The 18,628-nt window shown below is 42.9% G+C and overlaps 1 protein-coding gene across 12 annotated transcripts in view; it reads left to right on the top strand.

The window, feature by feature from the left end:
* TMTC4 (transmembrane O-mannosyltransferase targeting cadherins 4) overlaps window positions 1-18,418 on the top strand; it is a 71,451-nt gene extending 53,033 nt beyond the window's left edge. For 11 of the 12 annotated variants that reach the window (XM_047430706.1, XM_011521122.4, NM_001286453.3 and 8 more), the window contains 4 exons: window positions 7,613-7,727; window positions 9,533-9,645; window positions 15,616-15,685; window positions 16,901-18,418. In XM_047430706.1, coding sequence (XP_047286662.1) covers window positions 7,613-7,727; window positions 9,533-9,645; window positions 15,616-15,685; window positions 16,901-17,049 — 447 coding nt within the window. In that variant the 3' untranslated portion in view covers window positions 17,050-18,418. Of the gene's footprint in view, window positions 1-7,612; window positions 7,728-9,532; window positions 9,646-14,533; window positions 14,652-15,615; window positions 15,686-16,900 lie in introns of all 12 variants that reach the window. The other variant, NR_146794.2, reaches the window with a different exon arrangement.

Genomic DNA, 18,628 nt, shown 5'->3' with positions numbered 1-18,628 from the left:
CAGGAGAGCTGAAATTATTATAATGATCGGCTGTTTGTTCCCAGGGGGAAGGGGAGGCTGTGAAACCTCAACATAATGTTACGAGTGGTGACTTCAAAATTCAATCACATACAAAGCAGGGGCGATCCTCACAAAGTTAGTGAAGTGAGAATAGGGGTGGGGTGGAGGATGGGAGCACATGAGGTCTTACCTGAATTCATGCATTTGGGTGGTTATGAATATATGGGTGTAGGGATTACCGTTTCTGTTCACTGTATCTGTTAAACTAGTACTCAGTGACTAAATATGAGACTTGGTATTCATAAGAATTCTTCTTTTGGTTGGGCGCGGTGGCTCACGCCTGTAATCCCAGCACTTTGGAAGGCCGAGGCGAGTGGATCACAAGGTCAGGAGATCGAGACCATCCTGGCTAACATGGTGAAACCCCATCTCTACTAAAAATGCAAAAAATTAGCCAGGCGTGGTGGCAGGCGCCTATAGTCCCAGCTACTCAGGAGGCTGAGGCAGGAGAATGGCGTGAACCCGGGAGGCGGAGCTTGCAGTGAACCGAGATGGCGCCACTGCACTCCAGCCTGGGCGACGGAGCAAGACTCCATCTCAAAAAATAAAAATAAAAAAAAAGAATTCTTCTTTCATCCCTTTTTTTCCTTTTCTGGGGATTGCTCTTCTGTTACTTTATTGCTCACAAAGTGAGTGGGTCTGCCCACAGCCTCCCAGGTTATCCTCTAGGCTCCACAGCTTAGTCTTCTCCCCTCTCCTAGTAGCTGCCCGTCACTGCAGTTCCTTGGGATTTGGAAAATAGAGGATTTATAATAAATGCTCCTTCTGTAAGAATGATGTCCAAAGGGAGGAACGGAGAATATAAAGTACCAGCTTTTATCATGTGCTGTAGTCCTTGGGATTCATTACACTTTCACTTGGAAGATCATCTGTAGCATTGAACACATTGAGACCTTGTACTGCTTTTGGTTTATATTGTTTACTAATTACACTGCCGTGAAATGGTCTTCCTGTATTCCATTCCGCCAACTGTTCCTGCTTATTTAAGGCTTTTGCTTTCCCTTGTGGTTTAATTATCCAGCTTTTTCCTCTTTGACAGCTTAAAAGCATTAAGAGCTTAATCTTTAACAACTCAACCAACCCATTTATATACTGGCAAATAAGAACTTAATAGCTTAAGAGGGTTTTTTGTTTGTTTGTTTGTTTGTTTGTTTTAAGAAATCACTCTCTAGTAACAGGAGACAGCGATTTGTTTTGATTTCTAGACCCCAATATGGAGAGAATATAAGGCAGTTCTCTTGTGGAATAGGAAGTCAGGAAGAGCGCAATTACTGGGACATATTACTAATCTTAGAAAGTTATATTCTAAGCAATAATGGCTAGAGGGATTGCGGAAGACAATGCATGATGGAAGGACTGGATGTGTCCAGGAAAACAGAAACCATTCTAAGTGTTTTAGATAGAGAAGACTTAATATAAGGAATTGGTTAGACTCATTGGAAGGCTGGATGAGCAAAAATGGGATGGTAACATGAACTCAGAGATTAAAGGGAATCCTATATGTTTTGGGGGAACAGACAGGAGGCACTACCAAGATTTAAAAACTCACAAGAGGTTACAATCTCTGGAGCTACCACAGCCTCAAGAGCTGTGATCATGGAGACAGACCACTGCTTCCACCCTGGGACGGTGGAGGAGGGGACATAGTCACTTCAGAGACACTGCCAGGGGAAGGAAGGAGAGAGTGAGAGTAAGAGGAAAGGACTGCTCCCCTCTCCCCACCATCCAGTGCCTGTTGACAGAACAGAACAAAAGGGTGAAGAAGCCTGGGAAATGTAGTTGCAGACTCCCAGCCCCTGCTTCTCAGAGCAGAGTACAGAAGGGTAAGCGTAGGACTGCTGGGTGATTGATGTTACCCATCTACTTCCTGGATGAGCAGTTCTGGTTAAATCACCACTTTTTCTGCTTCCCTGAAAGTTTGTTCCCTTCGTGTAGATGCTGTAAGATGAGTAGAATTTGAGACAAAATGAAACTAAATTTTATCTGATTCAGTCTATTCTTCAATAAATAGTAATAATAATTGTAGTAGTAACAGTAAAGTAGTGAAGAATTTTGTCATGTTGGATAAAGGAAGTTACGTTGGTTGTTCTAGGTGTGTTCAAATGTTGCCATGGATTTTGTCCAAGTGACTCAAATGCATATCACTTGGTGGAGTGAATTGATCTGAGGAATCACTGGAACATCAAATAGAGATAATTAAGTGTTAGAATAATTAAGCATCGCATTATTTTCATTTTCTGAACTTTTCCTATCATTTCCTCATTAAAGGGTAAAAATATTGTAACTTGAGTTTCTGAGTCTCATGAGAAATTCCCACAACATCTTTAGCAAATGGATGTTCATAAATGTTTCCATAATTCATTAAAGCTTTCTTTTTCTTGCATAATATGCTATCTATTTGCTGTGTAGCGTAGGACAAGTCAGAACGTTTTTGTTGTCTGAAGAAAAGACAGACTTGCCAGTAAGTAAGGAAACAGCCTTAAACTCTGATAAATTGTAATCATTTGTACTTTTTGCAGAGTTAAAGGGATCAAGTACACTCAAATAAAATGTGCATTTGAACTGAGATAAGAGGGCAACAGGGTCACCTGCTAAAAAATCCATCACTGTGTGTGTGTGTGTGTGTGTGTGTGTGTGTGTGTGTGTGTGTGTGTCTGCTTTTATTAACTATGCAAATTGAGAGCTAGCCATTTTATATTCTGTTACCAATGTTAACATTCCCTCTCAAAAGAAGCAACAACCGCCCCTACTGGGAAGTGAGGAGCCCCTCTGCCCGGCCGGCCGCCCCATCCAGGAGGGAGGTGGGGGGGTCAGCCCCCCGCCCGGCCAGTCGCCCCGTCCGGGAGGGAGGTGGGTGGGTCAGCCCCCCGTCCGGCCAGCCGCCCCGTCCGGGAGGTGAGGGGCGCCTCTGCCCGGCCGCCCCTACTGGGAAGTGAGGAGCCCCTCTGCCCGGCCGGCCGCCCCATCTGGGAGGTGTACCCAACAGCTCATTGAGAACGGGCTGGGATGACAATGGCGGTTTTGTGGAATAGAAAGGGGGGAAAGGTGGGGAAAAGATTGAGAAATCGGATGGTTGCCGTGTCTGTGTAGAAAGAAGTAGACATGGGAGACTTTTCATTTTGTTCCGTACTAAGAAAAATTCTTCTGCCTTGGGATCCTGCTAATCGGTGACCTTACCCCCAACCCTGTGCTCTCTGAAACATGTGCTGTGTCCACTCAGAGTTGAATGGATTAAGGGCGGTGCAAGATGTGCTTTGTTAAACAGATGTTTGAAGGCAGCATGCTCGTTAAGAATCATCACCACTCCCTAATCTCAAGTACCCAGGGACACAAACACTGCGGAAGGCCGCAGGGTCCTCTGCCTAGGAAAACCAGAGACCTTTGTTCACTTGTTTATCTGCTGACCTTCCCTCCACTATTGTCCTATGACCCTGCCAAATCCCCCTCTGCGAGAAACACCCAAGAATGATCAATAAAAAAATAAAATAAAATAAAAGAGAGAGAGAGAGATTAAAAAAAAAAAAAAAACAAGAAGCAACAAAAATCTGGAAGCATTCCCCTTGAGAAATGGAACCAGGCAAGGATGCCCACTCCCACCACTCTTATTCAACATGGTACTGGAAGTCCTAGCCAGAGCAGTCGGGCAAGAAAAATAAATAAAAGGCATGTAAATAGGAAAAGAAGAAGTCAAGCTATCTCTCTTCATGGACGGTGTGATTCGACACCTAGAAAACCCTGCAGACTTTACCAGAAGGCTCCTGGAACTCATAAACAACTTCAGTAAAGTTTCAGGATACAAAGTCAGTGTACAAAAGTAAGAAACATATCTATATGCCAATCACATTCAAGCTGAGAGCCAAACCAAGAATGCAATCCCATTTACAAGAGCCATAAAAAGGATAAAATACCTGGGAATTCAGCTAATCAAGGAGGTGAAGGATCTCTACAAGGAGAACTACAAAACACTGCTGAAAGAAATCAGAGGTGACACAAACGAGTGGAAAAACATTTCCTGACCATGGATTGGAAGAATCATTATTGTTAAAATGGCCATACTGCCCAAAGCAATCTACAGATTCAACACTGTTCCTATCAAACTGCCAATGTCATTTTTCACAGAATTAGAAAAAGCTATTCTTAAATTCATATTGAACCAAAAAAGAACCTGAATAGCCAAAGCAGTCCTAAGCATAAAGAACAAAGCCAGAGGCATCACATTACCTGACTTCAAACTATACTGTAAGGCCACAGTAACCAAAACAGTATGGTACTGGTGCAAAAACAGACACACAGATGAGTGGAACAGAATAGAGAACCCAGAAATAAAGCCACACATCTACAGCCATGTGGTCTTCAAACAATTTAACCAATTTTTTTTTAAAGCAATGGGGAAAGGGTTCCCTAGGCAATAAATCGTGCTGGGATAGCTGGCTAGCCATACGCAAAAGAGTGAAACTGGACCCCTACCTTTCACAAAACACAAACATTAACTCAAGATAGATTAAAAATTTAAATGCAAGACCTCAAACTACAAGAATCCTAGAAGAGGCTGAGCTCAGTGGCTCACACCTGTATTCCCAGCACTTTGGGAGCCAAGGCAGGCAAATGGCTTGAGCCCAGGAGTTTGAAGCCAGCCTGGGCAACATGGCAAAACTTAATCTCTACAAAAAATCCAAAAAAATTAGCTGGGCATCGTGGTATGTGCCTGTAGTCCCAGCTACCTGGGAGACCAAGGTGGGAGGATCGCTTGATCCCAGGAGGTCAAGGCTGTAGTGAGCCACTGGTCACACCACATCACACCACTGCGCTCCCGCCTGGGCGACAGAATAAGACCCTGTCTTTAAAAAAAAAAAAATCCTAGAAGAAAACCTAGGAAACACTATTCTAGACATCAGCCCTGGGAAAGAATTGATGATGAAGTCCTCAAAAGCAATTGCAACAAAAACGAAAATTGGCAAGTGGGACCTAATTAAACTAAAGGGTTTCTGCACAGCAGTAGAAACTATCAAGAGAGTAAACAGACGACCTACAGAATGGGAGAAAATATTCATAAACTATGCATCCAACAAAGGTCTAATATTGAGATCTATAAGTAACAAATCAACAAGCAAAAAAACAGCCCCATTAAAAAGTGGGCAAAAGGCGTGACCAGACACTTCTCAAAAGAAGACATACAAGCAGCTAACAAACATATGAGAAAATGCTCATCATCACTAATCATTAGAGAAATGCAAATCAAAACCACAATTGAGATACCATCTCACACCAGTCAGAGTGGCTGTTATCAAAAAGTGAAAAAACAAGAGTCACTGGCAAGGCTGTGGGAGAAAAAGGAATGCTTAGACACTGTATATAAATTAGTTCATCCACTGTGAAAAGCAGTTTAGAGATTTCTCAAAGAACTTAGAACTGCCATTTGGCCCAGCAATCTCATGACTGGTTATATACCCAAAAGAAATCATTCCACCAAAAAGACACATGCGGCCGGGCACAGTGGCTCACACCTGTAAACCCAGCACTTTGGAAGTCCGAGGCAGGTGGATTACGAGGTCAGGAGTTCAAGACCAGCCTGGCCAAGATGGTGAAAGCCCATCTCTACTAAAAATACAAAAATTAGCTGGGCATGGTGGTGGGCGCCTGTAATCCCAGCTACTTGGGAGGCTGAGGCAGAAAATTGCTTGAACCTGGGAGGTGGAGGTTGCAGTGAGCCGAGATTGTGCTACTGCACTCCAGCCTGGGTGACAGAGCAAGACTGCATCTCAAAAAAAAACCAAAACATGCATTCATATGTTCATCAATCACTATTCACAATAGCAAAGACATGGAATCAACCTAGGTGCCCATCCGCTGTAGATTGGAAAAAGAAAATGTGGTACATATACACCATGGAATACCACACAACCATACGAAAAAAAAAAAATCATGTCCTTTGCAGCAACATGGATGCCACTGGAGGCCACTATCCTAAGGAAATAAATCCAGGAACAGAAAACCAAATGCCACATGTTCTCATAAGTGAGCGCTAATACATAAAGATGGCAATCATAGACACTTGAGACTACTAGAGTGGGGAGGCAGGGAGGCAAACAAGGGTTGAAACACTAACTATTGGGTACTGTGCTCACTACCTGGATGACAGGATCATTTCTATCACAAACCTCAGCATCACACAATTTACCCATGTAACAAACCTGCACATGTACATTCTGAATCTAAAATAAAAAGTTGAAGGCCGAGTGCGGTGGCCCACGCCTGTAATCCCAGCACTGTGGGATGCCAAGGTGGGCGGATCAGTTGAGGCCAGGAATTTGAGACCAGCCTGGGCAACATCGTGAAACCCCATCTCTACTGAAAGTACAAAAATCAGCCAGGCATGGTGACACACGTCTGTGATCCCAGCTGCTCAGGAGGCTGAGGCACGAGAATTGTTCGAACTTGGGAGGCAGACGTTGCAGTGAGCAGAGGTTGCAGTGAGCCAAGATCATGCCACTGCACTCCAGCCTGGGCAACAGAGCGAGACTCTGTTTCTAAATACGTACATACGCCTGGCGCGGTGGCTCACGCCTGTAATCCCAGCACTTCGGGAGGCTGAGGCAGGCAGATCGATCACAAGGTCAGGAGTTCAAGACCAGTCTGGCCAATATGGTGAAACCCCGTCTCTACTCAAAATAGAAAAAATTTGCCGGGCATGGTGGTGGGCGCCTGTAATCCCAGCTACTCAGAAGGCTGAAGCGGGAGAATCACATGAACCCGGGAGGTGGAGGTTGCAGTGAGCCGAGATCGCGCCATTGCACTCCAGCCCGGGCAACAGTGTGAGACTCTATCTCAAAAATAAAAATAATAATAATAATAAAAGTTTAAATTATAAAAAATAAGAAAGCAACAGGTATTTTTCTCCTTCCTAAATGAAGCAAACAAACTCAAAATTGCCAAGAGGTTTTACCTTACCATAGGAGACTTTTCCAAGGAGTTACAAAGTATGTCTGATATGCTCCTGTTTTTATATTTACTTTAGACACAGGCAGGAAGAGGCCCTGAGACCACCCTTCACAAGGTGAATTGGACACATAGCTTTTGATCATGAGAAATACTTTGTTCACTATTCTAAGTAATACTTTATCAACAATGAACTTATGAAGTCTTTAGTGAAAAAGACTAATGATGAGGCTTTCTTCAGTATTTCAGCAGTCTGAAATATGATTTGATTCCTAAAATCACTAAATAACAGGAAATAGGACATTACAGGTTCGGACCTTGTTCTTATTCCTGCTTTACCATTTCTAGTCTATAACTTTGGGCAAGTTCATTTCCTCGTGCCTTAGTTGCTTCCTCTGTAAAATGGGGATAACAATAGTATTTACTTCATTGGTATTGTTTTGAGGATTAAATGAGTTGATATGAAAAACTAGAAGCTCCATAATTAAAGTTAGGTTTTGGTTTTTTATTGTTGTTTGTTGGGCTTTTTCTTTCTTTTTTTTTTTTTTTAATAATGTCTTGGAAAGAGGAAGCAGGAAACTTGGAATACTGATTTTTTGGTGTGTTTTATTTTCAGTATGCAGATCTCAATCGCCACGTGGATGCCTTGAATGCGTGGAGAAATGCCACCGTGCTGAAACCAGAGCACAGCCTGGCCTGGAACAACATGATTATACTCCTCGACAATACAGGTACAGAAAGCTGGATGGAACAAATCACAGGAAATGGCTCCACAGTAAAATGCCACCGAAGACTTAGGAAATAGAGATTATTGTGCTTTTTTCCTACTGAGTTTAAAAAAAAATTAATGTGAAGTTAATTATTTTCTATTACAAAAATGTCTATTCCTCTAGAAAATGGAATTTCTAGGCCGGGCACGGTTGCTCACACCTGTAATCCCAGCGCTTTGGGAGGCCGAGGTGGGCAGATCACCTGAGGTCAGGAGTTCGAGACCAGCCTGACCAACATGGAGAAACCCTGTCCGTACTAAAAATACAAAATTAGCCGGGTGTGGTGGCGCATGCCTATAATCCCAGCTACTTGGGAGGCTGAGGCAGGAGAATCGCTTGAACCCAGGAGGTGGAGGTTGCAGTGAGCCAAGATCACGCCATTGCACTCCAGCCTGGGCAACAAGAGCGAAACGCCATCTCAAAAAAAAAGGGGGGGGCGGGTAGGGGGGAGAGGGGGAGGGAGGGAGGAAGGCAGGAAGAAAGGCAGGAAGGAAGGGAGGGAGGGAGGGAAGGGAGGGAAGGAAGGAATTTCTTTAGACATACTGGAATGTGAATGTCTGGGAAAATGACACTCCACCTAGAACTGGTGTTGAGTAATGGGGGAGAGGTGTGACAGTATCTTGTTTCTTCTGAAGCCTGTTATCCACCATTGGCCATCCTCTAGGGTGTTGGGAGCACTCAGAAGTGAGCAAGAATGGCCTTGGGGCTAATGACATGGATAGTACTAGGTCCATGCCCCAAGTTCAGGGACTTCACTCAAAGGAGCCCCCTCAGTCTACACTTGGAGCCATGGATTCTTTCTTTTTATATAATGCTAATCGACTTGAAGATCTGGTTTCCTATCCCTGAGCAGACCAGATTCAATCAATTAGGAGTTACTCTGCCTCCTTCACTTTAAAAATCCAAACGTCTTTTAAGAAATGATGGTGTTAGGCACAGAAAGGCAAATATCACATGCTCTCACTCATGGGGGATCTGGAAAAATGGACCTCGTGGAACTAGAGAGCAGAACAGTAGTTCCTAGGGGCTGGGAAGGGGGCGGGGATAAAGATAGGCTGGTTAATGGGTACAAACACAGATAGGAGTCAGTTCTAGTGTTCCACTGCACAGTAGGGTGACTGTAGTTAACACTTTATGATATATTTCACAAGAACTAGAAGATGTGAAATGTTCCTAACGTAAAGAAATGATCAATATTTGAGGCGATGGTTGTCTTAAGTACCTTAATTTGATCACTACACATTGTATGCATGTATCAAAGTATCACATGCACCCCATCAATATGTACAGTTATGTGTCAGTAAAAATATGTTAATGATGGTGTTAATTTGATCATGGTGTAGAGCAGAGATATATGGTTGTTTCTAGGGAAAATATAGAATGTATACTTCAATGTGATAAATTCTCAGTTATGAAAGTGTTACTGTCATCCTCTTATTTTGCAGATTTGTTTGGGTATAACTGGTATCTGGGAAAAAATTAAAACTAGGTTTTAGATGGTTTTACAGAAGTTAATCAAAAGCTGTTTATGTGTTGTGTCAGAAATGTGCTGAATTGCAGTGGCTTTGCCACTGATAACGTCGTGTGTGTGTGTGTGTGTGTGTGTGTGTGTGTGTGTGTGTATTACATGATCTACACAGATTTTCTTAAGTAGTTTATTCATAATTGTCATGTGCTGTGCACATAAACCCTGTTAGTTATAGAGAGAAGCTAAAATGCGAGTACAACATTAACATGTCTTTTATTTTTCCATTTTTCACTCCCAGGTAATTTAGCCCAAGCTGAAGCAGTTGGAAGAGAGGCACTGGAATTAATACCTAATGATCACTCTCTCATGTTCTCGTTGGCAAACGTGCTGGGGAAATCCCAGAAATACAAGGTGCGTAAACCGCAGGCTGTGAGTTCTTGCAGTTAGTGCCAGCATCTGACAGAAGACGTAAGTGTTACTTCTGCCCAGTTAAATTAGGAATCAGGCCAAAACAGTGGCAGTGGTGCACCAATGTGGCTTGGCCAGTTTGTTTCCTGGAAAAGTTGCTTCAAAGACAGCGGTGTGGGGCCAAACCCAGTGTCCTTTCTCATCAGAATTAACCACTGTGGTTCACACGTGGAGAGAGGAAGAGAAGCCCAAGGAAGGGGTGGGAGCAGGCAGGGAGTTGTGGAATGTTTGGCCTCAGAGGCCGGGCAGGCTGGTGCAGGAGGAGGACTCAGGGCAGCCACAGTGCATCCCCGGAGGTGCCCCTGCCCCAGCCCCACCCTAGCACAACAGGGTTTGACTCTGTCACTTGCACATGGGCTGGAGCTCTAGGTTTTATCTGCAGGTTCCATCTTCTGCACAAAAGAATAACCAGCCCATGGAGGATGCATGACTGGTTCTTGCTGCTTCCAGGTTTTTCTTTATCTGAGTTATATAGGCCACCAGCAAGGCCCAGAGTTTTCTGACCAACAAAAACCACAAGATACTAAATCTTTGCTCCAGTTGGCAGCCAGGGTGGAGCAGGAATAGGCTATGCATAACTCCCTGTGTGTTGAAGGGGACTGGTTGTAAACTTTAATTTTGTCTATCAGAATCACTGAGGAAGCTTGTTAAAGTAGAGATGCCCAGATTCTCCCCAGAAGGGATTGGCTTCGTGGGTTAGGTCAGGTCAGGGAATATGCATTTTTTTGTTGTTTTTTTATTTTTTTTGTTTTTTTTGAGACGGAGTCTCGCTCTTTCGCCCAGGCTGGAGTGCAGTGGCGCCATCTCGGCTCTCTGCAAGCTCCGCCTCCCGGGTTCACGCCATTCTCCTGCCTCAGCCTCCCGAGTGGCTGGGACTATAGGCGCCCGCCACCACGCCCGGCTAATGTTTTGTATTTTTAGAAGAGACAGGGTTTCACCGTGTTAGCCAGGATGGTCTTGATCTCCTGACCTTGTGATCCACCCTCCTCGGCTTCCCAAAGTGCTGAGATTACAGGCATGAGCCACCACGCCCAGCTGGAATATGCATTTTTAGCTGGCATCCTGGGTGTTAAACACAGATATCACAGAAGCAGTGCCTTAGTCGTTTCTTAAGAGAAATACCTTTATTTCAGAATCAGGGGCTATATCTTATTTCAATCACTCAGCCTATGTATAAGACCTAAAGGCAGCAACTAGCTAATATCTGTCCAGTGTTATTCACTTCTCTTTTTCTGTTTATTACATGTCATTATCAGTATAATTTTCAATAACAATGGTAAGATAATTTCATGCATATCTCTAGTTTTATAATGTTGGGGAGTTGAATAGCTTCACTATGCATTTTTTAAATTTCTAGATTTTACTCCAGAAATAGCTTTTTGAAGAGGGCTTAGTTTTAGTTTTTATGAATCTACTTGTGTAGCAGGGGAAGGAGGTGAGGTTTACAGGTTTCCCTTCTAATGACCTTTCCAGCCATCTGTCAGCCTGGGACAGGTCCCAAGTCTCAGTTCTCCTCCAGTGACCCAGCTACAGCGAGTCTTCTTGAAGACTTGGCTTATATAATCGTTGTATTGATTTTTCTGTCATCCCACAGTCTGTAAACTGCTGGAATTTCTATTAAGGGGATAAAACCCAGAGTTCGTTTGGCTTCCAGTTCATGTTGTTCTTCCTCCCCCACCCCCAAGTAAAGTAGAAAATACTCTGTAAAGCAGAATGGAGAAATCAGCTTCCTCTTTCTCTACACATTTTGCATTTTAATTATCAAGGCCAAAGCACTGGGCCTAACTTAAGGAAACAGAAGGTGAAATCTGAAACACAGAACTCACGATGAGATCTTCAGGAGCTACCAAGTTGGGGGACATGATGTGACTTCCTGAGCCATGGCATCAGCCACCAAGCAAGCATTCCATGTATTTTTTTAGTTAAGGGTTTGAATTTTAAGCAACTGTTTAGGTTTTCCTCTTCTAATGCAAAAATGATACCGGTTGCTAATGGTCAGCTGCATCCCTGGCACTGCTTGTTTCAGGATGTAGTGAGGGGACGTGTTTCCTCGCAGAGCACTGGGCAGGATGTCCCAGAGAAGAGGGGATGTGGTGAGTCGCAGGGCTGGGTGAACAGACCCTCCAGCCCAGCTATCTTGATGGCAGGGCAGGTGTCTGCTCCCTGACAACTCACTTTTTACCCAAGCACTTGCTGTTTTATTTATCATGCACTTGGTAAATCTCCTCAGAGAGCCTGGAGGCTTCTTGAGGTTGGAGCCGAGTCTTTGGTCCCAGTTTTGTATCTCCATTGCTGTCGGGCAGTTACGAAGCACCCAGTTAAGTAGTTGTAAAATGATCAAATGCATCTCTCATTTGGCCCTGAAACGTTCAGGCTTCCAGAACCTATTTTGAGATGTTGATATGCAGAGTGAGTGTTCTCGTTATATCTGCGTGGCTCTAAGCACCTTTTTATTCTATCTGAGCAGCCCTTCTTAAAACCTAACAGCAGTCACTTAGCCTCTCTGGGTCTCAGTTTGTTCATCTATAAAATGGAGATAGTTATCTGCCCACCCTCTTGACAAGGTGATACAAAAAAATGCACAACAACTTAATTTGCAACTATCAAATGGTTAATATGTATATGTATATATGTATGGGTGTGTGTGTGTGTGTGTGTGTATATATATACATTTAGTGAGCATTCAATCATTCAGTGAATCTCTAGGGATCATTAAAATGTATTAAAATTTATATTACTTCTTGCCATTTAATTTCCAGTTTCAAGCTAATGTGGTAAAGCAAAAATACAAAAGTAATGTTTTTCAGTGCTTAAATCATGGCTTCCTGTGCTGATTTCTTTTTCTGTAGTGCTAATTCCAATGGCCCTGTAGCTTAAGTGCAGGTTATGTTGATAGAGTCAGTTTCCTAAGCTCCAGACATTTATGTCACACCTTTATGATATTTTTTTGCCACATCTAGGTATTACCTTATTTACTTGACATTTTTATTTAAATAGATTTTTAACATGAATGTATTTAAAGGAGAAACAACGCATCATTACTGTAAATACAGGGTAACTGAAAGTGAAATAATCATACTAAATCCCAGCTAGATACTATTGCTGGCCAAGGCTCTGAGCTCTCTTAGCTTCAAGGAGAGATTGGCCGGTATGTTAGAGGGTGGGGCCCACACACCACCACCAAGTGCAGACTTCAGCCCCAATGCAATCAGAAGGAAGGAGGGAGAATAGAGAATAACTCTCTTCCTGTGTGAGTCACGGTTTCAACTTCTCATCAGATCTCCCATGTTACCCTTCCTATTCTAGCGGAGGCACAGTGGCCCCTGTGCCCCAGAGCACTCTTGGGTGGCTGCTGTGGCTGAAATGACCTCCGCCCACCCAGGCTTCCTCGCCTAGACATACAGACTAGCGCTTGTTCCTACCTAGAGACATAATTTGCAAGGCTTTCTCAGTCCTACACCTTTGTTAAATACATTTTGTCTAATATGCTTCAGAACATAATACCTTATTTTTCCCCTTTCTGTTCAGAAAAAAAATATCCCCAACTCTAAATGTGAGTTTATTGGTTCATTGGCATTAAATTGGCTCATTGCCTGGGTCTTTAGTCATCCAGAGACCTCCACAGAAGATCAATTTATAAACAGTTCACTGCTTTCCTGAATGAGGCCATTAGAAGGCTGATTTAATAGATGAACATTTCATGGGCTTTGAATACTCACAGATGCTGCGTTCTAAAGAGGCCCCTCCAACCCCACTCCCAGGCCCAGGTACAGGCCCAGGGGCTGCCCCCGTGACTTGGATAGAGCCAGGCCGACCCACCCACACCTCCTCTCAAACCATCTCTTCCTCCTGACACCCCTTCTTTTGTCCACATGCTGTCGTGTTTTTGTTGCCCTGGCTTGGAAATCTTGACTCATTTTTCCTCCTTTGTCCCCCTGGCCCAGTGCTCTCTGCCTGTTATTCCTCATCCCTGTTCCTTCACACTGGCCTCCTCCTCACCCTGCAGAGTTTGGGTCCAGCCCTTGCTGACAGCAGTGGCCCTCTAACAAGGTGTCAGATCTGAGCCCTTCCCTGTCTTCAGCACCACTGTGTCCCCCAAATTGCTGACTCCTCAATGTCCTGAATGATGTTCGTCCTCACAGGCATCTGAGAACTTAGCTGAATGAATAAATGAATTTAGCAACACTAGAAAACTCCTAACTTTTTATCCCTAAGCCATTTCTCTCAAGTTAACACTACTTCATTTACAGGTTGGGAAGGATTTTTAAGTAGATGTGGTTCCCTGGCCTTCCTATGTCTCAAGTTTTAGGTTTTAAATGGAAATGTTTGAAAATCATCAGAAACAGCCCAGAGACTCAGAAACCACTGCGAAACTACACAACCCATTTGACTTTTTTTCTGCAGCCTTCCTGATATGGCCGGAGTCTTGACCCTCTTGGAAGGAGTTTCAGCCCCTGAAACTCGGAATGTAGACACTACACTGACTTTGAACTGACATCCCGTATGTTGTCCTGATGTCTTTCTTAAGTCCCTCTTGGATGACATTTCTAAAATATAAATGTTTCTCTGCCAGCTCTGTCTGAAAGGTCATGGTTTTGGAGATGGTCCCCCACATTCTCAGCCAATTTCTCAGGGGTACCACAGGCCATACAGGGCAAAGGAACTGGTGGTCTTGCACATTATAAAATGCACAGTCACAGATATGGGAAGCCCACCTGGAAAAAATTCATGTATGACCCAGGTAGAAGGCACAAAAACTATCCCCACACCAACAAATTTGTTTGGTTAAGCTCAATGTGTGATACCGATTTTTTTTTTTTTTTTGAGACAGAGTCTTGCTCTCTTGCCCAGGCTGGAGTGCAGTGGCGCAGTCTCGGCTCACCGCAACCTCCTCCTCTTGGATTGGAGCAATTCTCCTGCCTCAGCCTCCCAAGTAGCTGGGATTACAGGCACGTACTACCACACCCGGCTAATTTTTGTATTTTTAGTAGAGACGGGTTTTCACCATGTTGGCCAGGCTGGTCTCGAACTCCTGACTTCAAGTGATCTGCCCACCTTGGCTTCCCAAAGTGTTGGGATTACAGGCATGAGCCACCATGCCCAGCATGTGATACTGATGAAAGCATGCTCCCCTTAAGGAATGCGAAGGTGGATGGAGTGAACAGCGTCCCCAGGGCACATGTCAATAAAAACAGGTTAGGCGTCTTTATTTCTCAGCATTATGGTAGAAGGGACCAGCCAGCCATCAGTTTTTAGCAGTGATCAGGGTAGGAAGACACTTTGCCCTGCCTTTTAGGGGCCAGGTTGGAAGTGAGTATGACTTGGAAGAAATGCAAGGCTGTGCAAGAATCAATTCACACCCATCAGGGGCATTTGGTGATGGTCATGTGCAGTACTGTGACAATGTAGTTGACAGGTGGCCATTCCTTCCTCTTTTCTGCACATTCTTTCCAGATGGATGGGGCTGCTTCTGGGCGGCCCAGAGTGTTGTAGGTTCTTGGGGGAGAGGAAATGGGCCTCAACTGCTACCCCAAGAGCTCTGGAAATGGCATTGGCATGGGTATGCTCCACGGCTCAGCCTTCTCCTGTTCCCTGGGCCTCCTGTCGTCATCACGCACCCTGACCTGGGCGACTTGCATAACATTACAGAAGTCCAACCACTGCAGGGAGGCAGGTGGTGGCACTCACGAACATGTTCATCCCCTCTCTGCGGCCACCACTCCCTCCCACTGCTCCTTGTCAGCCTCTCTTTGGCAGAGCGTGGCCCCGCTGGGCCTTCCGAGTGTTTCTGGAGGAATGCATTGATACAAAAGGAGGAGGTTAAAAGTTTGAAAACCGTAGGTGATAAAACTGGGAACTGCTTTTGCTTCATGTACAATAAATATCTTCCTTTTTATGTTTCTCATTTTTTAGGAATCTGAAGCTTTATTCCTCAAGGCAATTAAAGCAAATCCAAATGCTGCAAGTTACCATGGTAATTTGGGTAAGAAAAATGTTCAACTTGAATCGTGTTGAAATTTTGTTACTTTAATGAAGTGGGTGCATGTCTATAAAATTAATGTTGGGAGAGTAGTTTTTTCAAAGCTAGCCTGGCTTTAAAATGTGGTTCTGTTATTGCATTAAAAAGATAGCAAAGTGATAGCCACACTTACAAATCTCAATTGCATGACCAGAACAGCCCCAAAGTTTGCCCACTCTATTACCTTCTCATGATGAAACTCAGATTGTCCTTCTTTGTGTTAAGCTGAGAAGGGTGAGATTGGATCAAGAGAATGAGGCTATGGTTGCGAAGAGTTCTCCTAGTAAATTAATCGTAGGTACTTTGGAAGCTTGCCATTGAACTTACCTCCTTTTCCTTCCTTCTTACAGAGTAGACCTTCCCCTTCCAGCCTGGTCTTCTGCTTTATATCCTCTTATGCCTTGGCTAAAATGCATTTATAATCATTTATTCCCTAGAATTCATTTCTTGCATTTGTATGTCTCCATAGTTAAGATGTTTAGAGCATAGCATTGTTGATGTTTAGAATGCTCACAGAAATGTTTTTTCACCAAAGCTGTTCTCTACCAACTCTGAAGCTTCTCTTCACAAAAGCCAAAAAGCGTCCACAGATGCTCTTCTGCCCATATAGAAAGTTAATTTTACTAACAAAATCACTGTCATGATCAGAGGCTAATCATCCTAATGATTAGGTTTACTGTAACTATCATTTTAGGGTCAGCTCTTGATATCAGAGGCCTTTTTTCTAAATGGACCCAAACAAGCTATTACTTCCCCAAATGGTGTAAGGAAATATTTAAAATAAACAGCTGAACTTCTGCATAGTCAGGGCTCTGGGCAGTGCCTAGCATCCATCACCCCCACCTCCCATACCCAGCCTTGCTTCCTGGAAATTTCATGGCAGCACTAAGACATTGCATGTACTCTTCTTTTTGCTTCTTTATGTAATAATGTTACTATAGGCAGATGTATCTTATCTAGTGCTATGAAGAGCCCTAGGAGTAACTGGCAGTAAATGGATAATCATCAGGGAGTGTGATTACAATAAATAGAGTTTTCAGTACAAACAATATTGTTTCATACAATTGACTTTTGAAAACTGTTTGCATAGGATCTGTAATATTTCTTTGTCCAAGAGGGTAGGAATACGGCACGTTACTCAGAAGCATTCCCAGTGAAATTTATCTCCTGCTATTTCAGCTGTGCTTTATCATCGTTGGGGACATCTAGACTTGGCCAAGAAACACTATGAAATCTCCTTGCAGCTTGACCCCACGGCATCAGGAACTAAGGAGAATTACGGTCTGCTGAGAAGAAAGCTAGAACTAATGCAAAAGAAAGCTGTCTGATCCTGTTTCCTTCATGTTTTGAGTTTGAGTGTGTGTGTGCATGAGGCATATCATTAATAGTATGTGGTTACATTTAACCATTTAAAAGTCTTAGACATGTTATTTTACTGATTTTTTTCTATGAAAACAAAGACATGCAAAAAGATTATAGCACCAGCAATATACTCTTGAATGCGTGATATGATTTTTCATTGAAATTGTATTTTTTCAGACAACTCAAATGTAATTCTAAAATTCCAAAAATGTCTTTTTTAATTAAACAGAAAAAGAGAAAAAATTATCTTGAGCAACTTTTAGTAGAATTGAGCTTACATTTGGGATCTGAGCCTTGTCGTGTATGGACTAGCACTATTAAACTTCAATTATGACCAAGAAAGGATACACTGGCCCCTACAATTTGTATAAATATTGAACATGTCTATATATTAGCATTTTTATTTAATGACAAAGCAAATTAAGTTTTTTTATCTCTTTTTTTTAAAACAACATACTGTGAACTTTGTAAGGAAATATTTATTTGTATTTTTATGTTTTGAATAGGGCAAATAATCGAATGAGGAATGGAAGTTTTAACATAGTATATCTATATGCTTTTCCCCATAGGAAGAAATTGACTCTTGCAGTTTTTGGATGCTCTGACTTGTGCAATTTCAATACACAGGAGATTATGTAATGTAATATTTTACATAAGCGGTTACTATCAATTGAAAGTTCAAGCCATGCTTTAGGCAAGAGCAGGCAGCCTCACATCTTTATTTTTGTTACATCCAAGGTGAAGAGGGCAACACATCTGTGTAAGCTGCTTTTTAGTGTGTTTATCTGAAGGCCGTTTTCCATTTTGCTTAATGTAACTACAGACATTATCCAGAAAATGCAAAATTTTCTATCAAATGGAGCCACATTCGGGGAATTCGTGGTATTTTTAAGAATTGAGTTGTTCCTGCTGTTTTTTATTTGATCCAAACAATGTTTTGTTTTGTTCTTCTCTGTATGCTGTTGACCTAATGATTTATGCAATCTCTGTAATTTCTTATGCAGTAAAATTACTACACAAACTAGCATGAAAATGTCATATTGCCTTCTTAATCAATTATTTTCAAGTAGTGAACTTTGTATCCTCCTTTACCTTAAAATGAAATCAAACTGACCAAATCATCATTTATGTGGCTTCTGTGTGACTTGGGGACCATTTCATAGAATGGCACTACAGTGTTTTCCAAGTTCAGAGAACAGAGCGAGTAGATCCACACTGAGAGGAATGTGATTCTCTGGACTCACGTGTTGGGGGCAGGTCTGTGTAGTGTTTCAGTCAGTGATTGTAACTTCTGGTGTTTGAAATGTATCAAGAAATAAAGTGCTGTGTTTAAAATATTTCTTTTTTTTTTTTTGAGATGGAGTCTTGCTCTGTCTCCCAGGCTGGAGTGCAGTGGCACCATCTCAGCTCACTGCAACCTCCGCCTCCCAGGTTCAAGCGATCCTCCTGCCTCAGCCTCCCGAGTAGCTGGGATTACAGGCGTGCACCAACATGCCCGGCTAATTTTTGTATTTTTAGTAGAGACGGGGTTTCACCACGTTGGTC

This window comes from Homo sapiens, chromosome 13 (assembly GCF_000001405.40).
Source record: "Homo sapiens chromosome 13, GRCh38.p14 Primary Assembly".
Classification (NCBI taxonomy): Eukaryota; Metazoa; Chordata; class Mammalia; order Primates; family Hominidae; genus Homo; species Homo sapiens.
This window is presented reverse-complemented; position numbering and strand designations above follow the sequence as displayed.